Raw genomic sequence first — 14,326 nt, 5'->3', positions numbered from 1 at the left:
AAGAAATAATACAAAAACAAAAAGGACACTTCATAAGAAAAAGGGTCCAGTCACGAAGACATAACAATGCTCAATGTGTTGCACCTAATAACAGCAATTGTGAAATATGAAGCAAAACTTTAGAACTTAGTTCTTGACAGAACTAAAGAGAGAAATAGATAAGTCCACAATTAGAGATGGAAATTTCTTCATTTTTCTCTTACTATTGTTATAAATCTTCCAAAAACAAAATGTAAAAGAACACATTCATACAAAATCAGAAAAAATATATAAGATTTAAAGTAAAACATCAACCTATTTAATACTATGCCAAACTACAAAATACACATTCAAATGTGCATGGAACATGCATCAAGGTATACCATATATGTGGCCTTACAAAAGTTTCAATAAATTTTCAAGAATTACATTGATACATAGTATGTTTTCTGAACACAACAGAAAGAAATAAGATATAAATAACCAAAACATTGGGAAATTGCTGAATATTTGGTAATAAAACAACACATTTCTAAATGTTCCATGAGTCAAAGAAGAAATCTCCAAGGAACTTGGAAAAGTTTTGACCTGAATAATAATAATAATAATTCAGTATACTCAAACTTGTGGGAAACAGTTAATGTCTTTATACATTTACAACTTTAAATGCTCTTAGTAGACAATAGAAACATTTAAAAATCAATGATTTGAGATAGCAATTCTCAAAGCAGAAACTTGGGGACTCATGAGATCCCCTCGGAGAATCTAGGGAGATAAAATATTTTTAATTAAGAAACATTTTTTATTGGCCCTTTTCACTTTCATTTTCTGACAAAGGTACAGTGAAACTTTCCAGCAGCTACATAATGTGTAGTGGAATCATCTCTCTAATGGCTAGGAAAATGTATGATTGTCTATATTATGGTTCAAAAAATTCTCTGTTTCGGTTTCGATTGCAACAATATATTTGCATATTTGTATATATTACAAAAACTAAAGCTCTTTGGGATCCCCAATACTTTTTAAGAATGCAGAGTGATCCTAAAAATAAAAATATTGGGAATTGTTCATCTAAGAAAGCAATTTAAAAATCTAGAGAAGAATACTGTCTATAGTAAACATAAACACAAAAATACTTAATAAAATATTGAGGTATTGGATCTAGCAATATATAAAAAGCAAATAAGACCCAAGGTAAGTGAAAGAAAGGAAATGATTAAAAAAATGAAATTCAATGTAAAAATAATAAACAGTTGAGTAAATCTGTGCAACAGAAAGTTGGTTCCTTGAAAATATCCTTACGATTGATAAACCTCTGGCTAAACTGATGACAAACAAAGAAGGGAGAACAACCACCACCATCAGGAATAAAAGAGAAGAGGAGTTATCACTACAGAATGCTACAGGTATTAAAGATAATAAGAAAATACTCAGAACAACTTATGTTAACAAATCCAGTACCTTAGATAATGTGGACTGATTCCTTAGGAAGAAAACAAATATGCAGGTCAGACACTGAATAAGTTGAATTGCTAAACAGTGTGATACCTATTCAAGACTACGTATGTTTATATTCCTTAATAATACATATTTTAAAAAATCAAAACACTTCCACAGAGAAATCTCTAGGCCCAGATGGCTTCATTAGAAATTTTGTTATTTATGGAAGAAATAATTCCAATTTTTCACAGTATGTTACAGAAAATAGAGATGAAGGGAATACTTCTTAACTCAGTTTGTGAGAACAAAAAAACCCAGTTAAAAAAGTACACAGGATATTGAAAAAAAAACTGCAGAATACTGTCTATAGTGAATAAACACAAAAAGACTTAATAAAATATTGGGATATTAAATCCAGCAATATTAAAATGTATTTTTATCATTAATGTGATGAATATCACAAAAAAACTGGAGCTTCCCTTTGAGAATGCAAGGTTGATTTAACATTTGCAAAACAAACAATGTAATCCAACATAATAACAGAATAAAAGTGATAAATCACATGATATCCATAGATGCAGAAGGAAATATGAGAAAATTCAACACTCTTTCATAATAAAATGTCTCAGCAAACTAGAAACAGAATGGTACTCCTTTAACCTCATAAAGGGCATCTGTGTAAAACCTCCATCAAACATCATGTTAATGGTGAAATATTATTGTTTTTTAAGATTGGGAATAAGAAAGATGTTTGCTCTCAATACTTCTCATCACCACTTCACTACAATGGTCACAGCCTTTGCACCAAGACCCAAAAATGAAAACAAAAAGAAAGAATGAAAAACCAGAAGGAAAACCTGATTAATGGATGCAGACAGTCCTAAAAAATATACACATGCTCTGTGTATAACAGTTAATTGGTATTCTGTATACTTTCTATGATCATTTGGAAAAATAAATGTTTTAAAGCAATATCACTGACAATGTTATCAAAACCAAAAAATATTTAATGATAAATTTAACAAACTATGCACAAGGACTATACAGCTTGCACTAGAAAACGTTGTCAAGGAAAGAATTAAAAGATCTAAATAAAGATACACCATGCTTATAGATTGAAAGGCTCAATATCACTTCTCATCAAATTGATCTTTGGATTAAACTCTCACCCAAACACTATTGCTGCAGTCCTTTTTTGGAAAAAATGTGGAGGACTTACATACCTTAATATAAAGACTTATAAAGGTACAAGAATCAAGACGTGGTATTGGCCAGGACCCTTGGCTCATGCTTGTAACCCCAACACTTTGGGAGGCTGAGGCAGGAGGATGGCTTGAGCCCAGGTGTTCAAGACCAGCCTCAGCAACAGAGCGAGACCCTCTCTCCACAAAAAAAAATGAACCATTAGATGGGTGTGATGAGTCACACCTGTAGTTCCAGCCACTCAGGACACTGAGGGGAGAGGATCACTTGACCCAGGAGGTCTAGGCATGAGTGAACCTTGATCATGCCACTACATTATAGCCTGGATGACAGAATGATACCCTATCTCAAAAAATAAAAAGATATGCGTTATTGGCAAAAAAGTATGCAAAACTAAAAAGGGATGGTCCAGCACCAGACCCACATACATATGGTCAATTGATTTTCTATATAGATGACAAAGCAATTAAATGGAGACAATAATCTTTTACAAAAATCATTCTGAACCATTTGGATATCCATGATAGAAAACAAAAACAGACCTTGACTTTTACTTTTCATCTCAAATTAATTTGAGATATCTCTTCCACCTAAGTGTCAGAGCTAAAACTGAAACTGAAATATGAAAGTTCCAAGAGAAAATATAAAATCTTCACAACCTTGGAGAAGGCAATTTTTTTTGACAGAGGAGTCATTAACACTAACTATAAAAGAAAACAAATTATGATGTGGGCTTTCATAAAATGAAAACTCATGCCCACCAAAAGTCATTTTTAAGAAAATAAATAAGCAAATAACACATGAGAAGAAAAATGCTCTCTTTCTATCTATCTGACAAATGGCTTGTGTCCAGAGTATAGAAACATTTCTCCCACTTGCTAAACAGGGGACAAACAACTTAATCAAAAAAGGCAACAGATTGAATAGGCATTTCTCAGGGATGGATACACACAAAACCAATAAGCACTTGAAAAAATGTCCAATATCTCAGCCATGAAAAATAAAGAATTATAACCATCATGAGATGTCACCAAACACCCAGTGGACATGGATATTATTAAGAAGACACCACAGTAACTGATGTCACTGATGTAGAGCAAGGATATGCAACTCTCTCGTATGTTGGTGGAAGTGCAAAATGATAAAACCACTTTGGAAATCAGTCTGATGATTTCTCCAAAAGTTCAATAAAGACACATCTACTCTACAAATCTGCAATTCTATTCCTGAATATTTACCCAACAGAAATGAAAACATAATTCCACAAAGAGATCTACAAGAATATTCATAGCAGCTTTATTTTTTATACCCCAAACTGTAGGCAACTACAGTGTCAATCAATAAGAAAATGAATAAATAATTTGCGATCTATTCATACAATGGCATACTATTCAGCAATAAAAGGGAGCACATTAATGATACTCTCAAATAGCATGGATGAAGCTCAAAAATATTACATTAAGGAAAGATGTCAGATAACACAAATGAACATTATATATGAGTCCATTGATATAAGGTTCCAGAAAGGCAAAAATAATTTCTCTTGAAGGAAACCAGTATCATTTGCCTCTGGCCATGGGAAGAAATTAGCAGAGATTGATTTTGCCGTAAAACAAAAGTTGTTTCTGGGGTGATGTAAATGTTCTGTGTCACGATCGTAACTTGCGAGTTACACAAGTGTACATGTTCATCAAAATTCATCAAACTACATCTAAGATCTGTGCATTTGACTATACATGAAAGTGTACCTCAGTTGAAAATAGATAAAAAAATCTCCTTCGAATACCACACTTGCTAACATATCCAGTTGCTTGGAGAACCAGCCTCCTGTAGCTGGGAGTCTGGGCTTGAGACTGGGTCACATGTGTAGAGTCTCTACAGAGATAGTGTTGCATTCCCATGGTACATAATACATTTCAAGTTTTCTCAGACAGCCACAGGCCATGAATGTGAGGATTCTGAGAGGTTGAAGCAACATTCCTGGGAGGAACGAAGGGGAGCACATTCTCCAAGATGCCCCCAACCCTGGGGTCCTCACCTGCTGTGCCTCTTATTCAATTTTTTTTCTGCCTCCTCCATAGTCAATTGACCTCTTCAGATCCCATAGTCTAGCCAGCCATCTCCCTTTATGCCTTGGGTCCCACTGTTCCTTCATCTCATCCCCCATTCCCTCAGTCCCGGAGTGGCTGCAGCCAGCAGAGGATGGACTGAGAGCAAGAGAGGAGGTCCTGCCCAGGAACCCATCCTAGAGAAACAGCATCCTGCCTGGGAGCTAGTCTTCCAGTTCAGCTTTTATAAGTCTTGTAGACTCAAACCCACTTGACCCACCTGAAATGGTATTGACAGTAATACTATTTTCATGGTTGTTTTTCATTGTAAATGCAGAGCCTTTTAGCTACACAACGAGTACAGAGAGTAAGGGGGCTGGCCTGGGAATGATATCATCTTGGATGGCATTTCCTCCTTGGAGAAATATATGTTAGTTCCAACTCACATATTAATATACAATCCTATAGAGAGAGATACAGAGAGCTAGAGAGACATAGGTGTATTTGTATGTGCATAAAAAATCTATAAGACACACTTCAAAATCTATACCGGTTCCTCCAGAGGTATGTGTTTGGCAGAAGGTAGAAGGAGGGTATTCTGGTCCTTTCTTAAGCACATTTATATATGATCTCAGTTTTTATATGGAGCATTGATAGGGTTTGGCTATGTCCCCACCCAAAATCTCATCTTGACTTGTAATCTCTATAATCCTGATAATCCCCATGTGTCAAGGGCAGGACCAGGTGGAGGTAACTGGATCATGGGGGCAGTTTCTCCCAGGCTGTTCTCATGACAGTGAGAGAGTCTCCTGAGGTCTGATGGTTTTGTAAGTGTCTGGCATTTCCCCTGCTTCCACTTACTCTGTCCTGCCGCCTGTGAAGAAGGTGCCTGCTTTTCCCTTGCCTTCTGCCATGATTGTAAATTTCCAGAGGCCACCCCAGCAATGTGGAACTGTGAGTCAATTAAAACATTTTTCTTTGTAAGTTACCCAGTCTGTCTCGGGTATTTCCTCATAGCAATGTGAGAGCGGACTAATACAAGCATATACTACTTTTGATATTTTAAAATAAAAATTAGAATCTATCTTTTAAGGGTATGCAGTGGGTTAGAAATTGAGGACCCAGCCGGGAGCAGTGGCTCACGCCTGTAATCCCAGCATTTTGGGAGGCCGAGGCAAGCGATCACCTGAGGTTGGTAGTTCGAGAACAGGCTGACCAACATGGAGAAACCCCGTCTCTACTGAAAATATAAAATTAGCCAGGCATGGTGGTGCATGCCTGTAATCCCAGCTACTTGGGAGGCTGAGGCAGGAGAATCACTTGAACCCAGGAGGCGGAGGTTGCAGTGAGCCGAGATCGTGCCATTGCACTCCAGCCTGGACAACCAGAGCAAAACTCTGTCTCAAAAAAAAAAAAAAAAAAAAAATTAAAAAAAATTAAAAAAAGAAAAGAAATTGAGGACCTTTTTTGTTGTAGTAATTGTATGGTACCCTTAATGGGAATATTTCAAAGTCACTTGTTAAGGCTTTGTTAGAACAAAATGTAGAGGGTGCTGGGTGCCCCTGAATATTCTTCCGCCTCCTGTAACCTGTATTGCTTTGGAATTTCCAGTGGCCTGACAATGAACTACTGCAGGAATCCAGATGCCGATACAGGCCCTTGGTGTTTTACCACAGACCCCAGCGTCAGGTGGGAGTACTGCAACCTGACGCGATGCTCAGACAGAAGGGACTGTGGTCGCTCCTCCGACTGTTATCCAGGTTCCAAGCCTAGAGGCTCCTTCCGAACAAGTAAAAAGTCTGTATCCAGACATCTATGTGCTTGGACAACGGGATGAAAAGACATGAAAAACCACACTGATGCAGAAGCCTTTAGTGCTGCACGGGAGCTCGAGTGTTGGTTGAGGGTCTGCCATGACCAAGGAAGCCTCAATGCCGTCCCTGGGAAAGCCAGAGCTGTGATTTTTGGCACAACTTGCGAGTGTAGTGACTTTAGGACTGGCGCAAAACCTCCAGGGTGCTCAACTTAACCACTCACCTTGTTCTAAAATAGGTTATTTCAGTGTCCCAGTCAAATTCCTATTCTAACATGCTGTCAACTATGTGATTCTTTCCAAGCCAATAAACATTTCCAGTAATTTCTTAAAATAGTGTTCATGGCAGTCTTCAGCAGTGGCTTCTGACTAATGTGGCCCCTGATTCCGTCGTCCTAGAGAAACCTGACATGACTGCATTGATTCCATATTGTCCTGGGTCTATGTGGCTGTGCATATCATCTGCTTTTTGTTTTTGTTTTCGTTTTTTTTTTCTACAGACTCTATGTTTGGGAATGGGAAAGGATACCGGGGCAAGAAGGCAACCACTGTTACTGGGACGCCACGCCAAGAATGGACTGCCCAAGAGCCCCATAGACACAGCAGGTTCACTCCAGGGACAAGTCCACGGGCAGGTCTGGAAAAAAATGTAGGGACATGGATGAAGCTGGAAACCATCATCCTCAGCAAACTATCGCAAGGACAAAAAACCAAACACCGCATGTTGTCACTCAGGTGGGAATTGAACGAAAACACATGGACACAGGAAGGGGAACATCACACCCAGGGCCTGTTGTGGGGTGGGGGGAGGGGGGAGGATAGCATTAGGAGATATACCTAATGTTAAATGACGAGTTAATGGGTGCAGCACACCAACATGGCACATGTATACATATGTAACAAACCTGCACGTTGTGCACATGGACCCTGAAACTTAAAGTATAATAAAAAAAAATGTAAGCCACTTTGATTTGGACTCTTTTTCCCTTTGCTGACACATCTTTTCAAACAGAGGATGGGCAGAGGAAAATACTGGAAAGACTTCAGGAGGCTAAGCGTAATTGGCCTTAGCATGGAAAGTGTAAGCAGCACAGGCCAGCAAAGCCCCACGCGTGTGGGGATTCTCAGGCCTCTTCTCTTTTGTGACATTTCTTTACTGTTTCCATTGTTGGGTGCTGTTTCTCATTTCTAGTCCTTGTCCTCTAGGCCAGGGGTTCCCACTCCAGTACTGGTACTGGTACTGGTACTGGTCCCGATCCTGGTCTGTGGTCTGTTAGGAACTGGGCTGCACAGCAGGAGGTGAGCAGCAGGTAAGTGAGCAAAGCTTCATCTGTATTTTCTGCTGCTCCCCATCACTCTCATAGCCACCTGAGCTCCACCAACTGTCAGATCAGTGGCAGCATTAGATTCCCATAGCACAAACCCTATTGTGAACTGCACATGCCAGGAATCTAGGTTGCACACTCCTTATGAGAATCTAATGCCTGATGATCTGTCACTGTCTCCCATCATCCCAAGATGGGACCATCTAGTTGCAGGAAAATGAGCTCAGGCCTCCCACTGATTTTACATTATGGTGAGTTGCACAATTATTTCGGTATATATTGCAATGTAATTTTAATAGAAATAAAGTACACTGTAAATGGAATGTTCTTGAATCATCCTGAAACCAATGCCCCCTCACCCTGGGTCCATAGAAAAATTGCCTTGTATGAAACCAGTCTCTGGTGCCAAAAAGGTTGGGGACCATTGCTCTAGGTTCTAGTGGTCAAAGACGTCCTTTATGATGCTTGAGTCAGATTTTTCTAGAAAAGATTGGGATGGGCCATCAAGGGGCAGTGGGACTTCTCCTAGTCTCATGCATTCTCTGGGATGGTTTACTTTGGGGCCTGTGTATAGGGAAGACTGAGATATAGGAAAAACCCAAGTGTCTGTGTTCCCCCACTCTCACACCCATGTAACATAACACTTCTCACACCAGATGTGGGGGGATTTCTCCTCATACCCCAAGTGAGTCTCCAGCAGATACCAGCTGGGTGTCCTACAATGTAACTCAGTCCTGACACTCTATCTGGAGACAGTGTCAGATCCCACAAGTTAAGGTTCAGTCCCACAAGACCGCCCCACTGCAGATGCCAATCCCAAGTTCCAGGCTGTGACCTGTACTGGACAAATTCTGTTTTTCTACATGACCCTCCGTGGATTTGATTACTTTCCTGGAGTGGCTCACAGAACTCAGGGGAACACGTTACTTTTATTTACCCATTTATTGTAAAAGATATTGCAAAGGATCCTGGTGAACAGCTAGACGGAAGAGATGCACAGGGCAAGACACATGGAAAGGAGCTCAGAGCTTCTGTGCCCTCTCTAGTGCACCACCCCCAGGTACCCCAAGGGTTCAGCAACCCAGAAGCTCTCCAAGTGCAGTCTTGTTGGGTTTTTGTGGAGGCTTCATTACAGAGGCACAGTTAATTACATCATTGGCCATCGGTGATCAGCTCAACTTCAGCCCCTCTTCCCTCCCTGGAGGTTGGAGGGTGGGGCTGACTGGTTCCAACACTCAAATCACATGGTTGGTTCCCTTGGCAACCAGCCCCGGAGGCTATCCAGGAACCCACCAAGAGTTGCTTCATTGCAGCTCCCTTCACCCAGGAAACTCCAAGGGATTTAGGAGCTCTGTTAGGAACTGGGGGGCAGAGACCCAATATACATTTCTTATTCTATCTCAGTATCACAGGAAGGGAAGGATGACACTGCCTTTGTGTGTCTCGCCCGTGGAGGGTGCATGATGCATGGAAGTAAGTGTTTCTGACTCAACAGCTAACAGGCTTTATCAGGTAGAAGAGCCCTGAGCCCCCAAGGGACAAAGCTCATCAATGATGTTCCACTGTTCTCTGGGGCTCTGGCTCTAAGACCTCCACTGGGTCGGGTTTCTGGAGAAGAGGCCCATTCTCCAAAGACCCTTCAGGGTCACCACCCCTTTGGTCAGGGTGTGGCCTCATAGCTTCTTTTGAACTGGAACACATGACTGATGGCTTTAGAGCATACAAAAAATAAGTTTGCGAAAAATATCTTAATAATAATAGAAAGAAAGGAAGAAGAAACACTCCTTTATGTCTCTAAGAATAGATGTGAAACATGTGTGCCTTGGAACACCTTCTCCCTCTCTTGCCCCACGTGAGCTGGAGCTTACATGCCTGCTTGTTTTCAGTACTGCCGTAACCCTGATGGTGACATCAATGGTCCCTGGTGCTACAGAGTGAATCCAAGAAAACTTTTTGACTACTGTGATATCCCTCTCTGTGGTAAGTTGCCTTCTGTTTTGGTAAGGAAACTGCTTCCTTCATATGGATTTGCAAAAAAAAAAAAAAAAAAAAAAACCAGAAAATGGCTTTTGAGCTGAGTGCTTCTGGGGAGGAGATGGCTGCCCTCTCCACCAGAGCCTGCCCTTCGTCATGGGCATCTTGAACCTGCCCTACAATTGGCCCCATTTGTTAGGGAAACACCCGCCCCTCCCACCACACACACATAAATAAAATAAATGTAAAATTCCCAAAGAGCACACTTAGAGGTGATCTAATCAGCCCCAGGGTGGTCCCACTGAGCACTTCAGTGTCTAGCATGGGATGCATGAAAAAGAAATTTACAGTCATTCGGATAAAAAACCTTTCTCTTCTGCAGCTGAGAAGTATGAAAAATATACGAACAGCAGGGCACAGCTAAGCATGTGGTGCACATTGTAAACCTACAGATGGCCATCCTAGGAATTCAGTGAAGGGTAGTGCAGCTCTTTAGCCCCAAATGGCCTTTCTCCTAAGATTATTCCTCACGATTCACATTAGCATCATTGCTTAGAGACTGTTTGTTGGGTTCCCTCTTCATTGCTCCAAGACTCTTGTTGGGAGTATGAGGCTTGGATCAGGGTAAGTGGAGTTGACATTAGATCTTAAACAACTGGGATAACAAATCCATGGGTATTTCTGAAAAAACAAAAAGCCACTTGGACTTGTCCCCTATTTTACTTTCTGCTGACCAATCAACTTGTCTGTCCTAGTTACAGAAAGCTGTCCTGGACTTTTCATTTGTATAATTTGGTTGCTTGTGGTTGGGTCTGCCATGTGGAAGAACCTTGAGCTGGGGGAAGCAGCTTGGCCTCCAAGTCCACTGAAGACCACCATTCCAAGATTTCCTGGGGAGGCGGTACAGGGCAGTGATGAAGATTATGGGAGCCACACTGCCCAGCTTCGCATTTGGGACACTCCTGGGGAGAGCAAGAGGGAAGAATGAGAGGTTAGGGTGATAGTAAAGATTCTACTTGGCCAATATTATTGTATTGTGGCATTGTGGTCTCTGGATTTAGTGTGAGTTGATAGCTGACCTTTTCCTTGAGTGGGTGTTTTTGTTTGTTCTGCAGAAGCATCTTGGTGGCTCCTCTACCTGAAAGTCCCTCGATGGGGTCAGTTCCAGTTCTCCACTTCTGGCCCCGTCTGGTACATGCCACTGCCTCTCACTGCCTGGGCTCTCTATCCTTGACAGGCTGCCTTGAAGTTGAGCCCACACTGACTTTCTTGCCTCAGACCCCACTACTGTGCCTGGGACTCATGCACCTTTGACTCCTATGGTAGGAAAGTGCAGTAGCTTCCCAGGTGCATTTCTGCTGTCCTCACCCACATAAAGGTTGTATGAGAATCGAGTTCTTAAAGATTGGAGAAAGAAGGAAGAATGGGAGCAAGATTTTTCCCAATGGACTGTGAGGTCCCCCACCTAACCTTGATGTAAGACAAGTGAGGTTAACCCCAAGCCTTGTGAGAAGGGTTCCCATAAGACACTTGGAAATCCTCAGAACTGTTTCCTACAGAAGGATGTGGTTGGTGGGTTTGGTTTCCTGCAGAAGGATGTGGTTTATTCAGGTTTGACTCATGCTTGAGAAATCTAGAGACTCTGGTGGAGAATGATTTTAATAGCTAGTTCATTTCCACTAAGACATTCAGTATAAATAATAAGTAAAAATAAATAGAAACATTCAGTTTTATTTTAAATAGTAGGAGCAGGTACCATAATTTCTGTAGTTACTCTTTTAGTACAATGATGCATGTATACTGTGTGTAAGGCATATTAGCAGAAATTGAGTTCAGCACTAGGGAAGATGATTTCATTCCATGCAATGTTTCTTTAAAAAAAAAAAAGACTTATATAGATAGATTCTCAGAACAGCCCATGGCAAATGGACAGTTATTTGGAAAACTCAGGTTCCAAATTCACTGGAGTGTAGAATCTCTGGTTGGTTGGGGAGGAAATTCCTCTTGCAGTTGTTATTAATAATTATGTGAATATTATTAACTATATTAATGTTTATAATTTTGAAGACCTTGAAGGACTGGAGACAGAGAAGCATTTTTGAACACCCTCTGTAGCCTATGCACTGTTGTAGGCATTGATGGGTGGTACCAAAGATGGGACACTGTTCCTACCTCCAGAGATCTTGCAGGCTGGCTGCAGAGAGAAGGCAGAGAGGAGGTAAAAGAAAAATAAAGGCACATGTGTGTAAGTCACCCCAATGACAGTCAGTTAGTCATGGGAGGCTCCCCAGAGGAGCTGTCCTGAAGCTGGCTGAGAGAAGGCAACATTTCAACTTAGGACAGTAATCCTTGCTACATACAATCACACACACACATACACACACACACACACGTGCACACACAGACTCACATGCAAAAGAAACCTTCATGCCTTTCTGTAAACTTTATGTGGGTTAGATGGGGATGGTGATGAGGATGATGATGGGAAGGATGACATCATGTTCTAAACATTGTTCGGAATAACAATGACGAATAACTATTTGTGCCAATCAAGGTCTTCTCAGAAAAGATCTCATTCTAATGCTGAACTATACCAATTTCTTTGATCACTTCTCCAACAAAATAATTAGAAAGCGCTTATATTTCCTTGAAAGGAGAGCATCCTGTGTTGTTTACTACCACTTTTGAAACCTAGAAAAAAAATCTAAAAGTTGTTTATAATTTTACTGTTTAATTTCACCTTTGAAATATCAAAAACTCAGTGCTTGGAATTTGTCCTAAATTAATTGACAAAATTGCCAACTTGGACTCAAATGCGACTTCTTTCCCACCTTGTGCCACAGCATCCTCTTCATTTGATTGTGGGAAGCCTCAAGTGGAGCCAAAGAAATGTCCCAGAAGCATTGTAGGGGGTTGTGTGGCCCACCCACATTCCTGGCCCTGGCAAGTCAGTCTTACAACAAGGTAAGAACAGGCCCAGAAACCAACTATATTGTCCTTCCACACAAGCCCCACAAAATCCTTCTACATTTACACAGAACCCACACAGCTGAGGCATCAGTACCTGCCTCTATGTTTTCTGAAGGAGGAAAAAATATAGAAAAATAAAAATAATTATATTATTTTAGGTTCTCTACTTTGAAAATGGCCAAAATTGGAATCTTTTTCTTGATCTAAGTAGCTACATCAAAATCTGTAGGCGCAGTGATTTGCACCAAGTTCCGATATTGCTGGAAAATATTGAAGATGCTCTGAGGGTTTCTATGGATATCCATTGTCTCACTGTCAGATGAAAAGAGAGGGAAGTTTTTAGAAATGTGACACTTTGCAGTGAGGGAGGACAAGAGCAAACTTACCTACAGTCTGTCACAGGCACGATTTTTTTTTTACACTTTTGTGAATCATTGAATTCAATGCCGAGGCTACTCATCCATTCACAAACACAGGAAAAAATTATAGGTCATGATCCCCATAAATGAAGAGTAATCAGTCCAATCCCACAGAACCTGGACCTTTTGGGTATTGTTTCAGTGGAACATGCCTTTCATAAGTTCAGTTTTCTTGGGTATCTCTTAGGAAACACGCATAGGAAACAGGCCCAACCGCCTGCATGTTTTGCTTCCTTGGCTCACTTCTACATCAGGGTGCCTGTGCTCAATTACTGTTCTCCCCTAAAGAGCCTTCTTTTCACAGGTTTATGAAATGCCATCGACAAACCTGATCACATTGCATTTCACTCTGCCGTTGATTTGATTTTTCTTTACTTTATTGGTTAGAAACTCCTTGCTTTACAGAGCTTTCACCTTCCACATATTTCAGATTCATTCTTTCCTAAACTGCGTGGTGGTCTGTGTCCTCATGGATTTATCAAAGTGCTGCCAACATGCACTTTTTACCTGTACTCTTCATTACACTCTGGCTCCGAGTGGCTCACGCCAGTATTCTGAGCTATCACCTGCCTATGCAGTCCTAGAAAGCAAGTGATGTTCTGGGATGCTCTGACACTCTAGGAAGGAGAGAAGGGCCTTTCTGGCTCAGCCTAAACAGTAGCTGATCTCTCTCGTGCTCCCCAGTCTCCTCCCCACCATCCCAGCAAATGTGCAAATACAAGGTCTCCGCTCCTCATGGTCCTCAGAGAGCTAGGGTGTTCTGATGGCTTGAAAAAGCAATTTGGAAATTTTGAGTTTTGGAGGTATTCTCTGATAGGCTGATACATTTTGAGTTTAGAGTTCCCACCCCACATCCTCACACCCTAGAGTGCTCCACCAGGGAACCTGTAGACTGAGGACTTCTGCACCACAGATGTCTGTTGCCCAGAAGCAGAAAGTGTGTCTGCTTCAAAGTTGGTGGCAATGATGATTCTTTGTCAGAATAGGGCATTTCTCATATCCAGTCCTTTATCCCCTTGAACTTACTAAAGTAGAATCAGGTCTAAAAACCAGAGTTCTAATGTTTGAGAGTTCCTGGAACTCTAAGATATATAAATGTTCTTTGACAATGCCATTTTGTTCATGCAAGGTGCTTATTTCCAATCCTCTTTCATT

At 40.9% G+C, this 14,326-nt stretch overlaps 1 pseudogene across 2 annotated transcripts in view, besides 1 other annotated feature; it reads left to right on the top strand.

Annotated features, from left to right (window-relative positions):
- Positions 1 to 7,446, top strand: part of LPAL2 (lipoprotein(a) like 2 (pseudogene)) — a 44,570-nt pseudogene extending 37,124 nt beyond the window's left edge. The window contains exon 10 of one of the 2 annotated variants that reach the window (NR_028093.1): positions 6,984 to 7,446. The product of NR_028093.1 is annotated as a lipoprotein(a) like 2 (pseudogene), transcript variant 2 (transcript). Of the gene's footprint in view, positions 1 to 6,281; positions 6,818 to 6,983 lie in introns of those variants that run through there. The other variant, NR_028092.1, reaches the window with a different exon arrangement.
- Positions 11,014 to 11,063: an enhancer, noted in NCBI's record as "active region_25402". NCBI's record gives its function as "activates an Ori minimal core promoter by ATAC-STARR-seq in GM12878 lymphoblastoid cells {active_cell/tissue: GM12878}" and the evidence as "EXISTENCE:reporter gene assay evidence [ECO:0000049][PMID:35858748]".

The sequence above is a fragment of the Homo sapiens genome, chromosome 6, assembly GCF_000001405.40.
Source record: "Homo sapiens chromosome 6, GRCh38.p14 Primary Assembly".
In the NCBI taxonomy this organism is placed as follows: Eukaryota; Metazoa; Chordata; class Mammalia; order Primates; family Hominidae; genus Homo; species Homo sapiens.
Note: the sequence above shows the minus strand (reverse complement) of the source record. Positions and strands in the feature narration are given on the sequence as shown.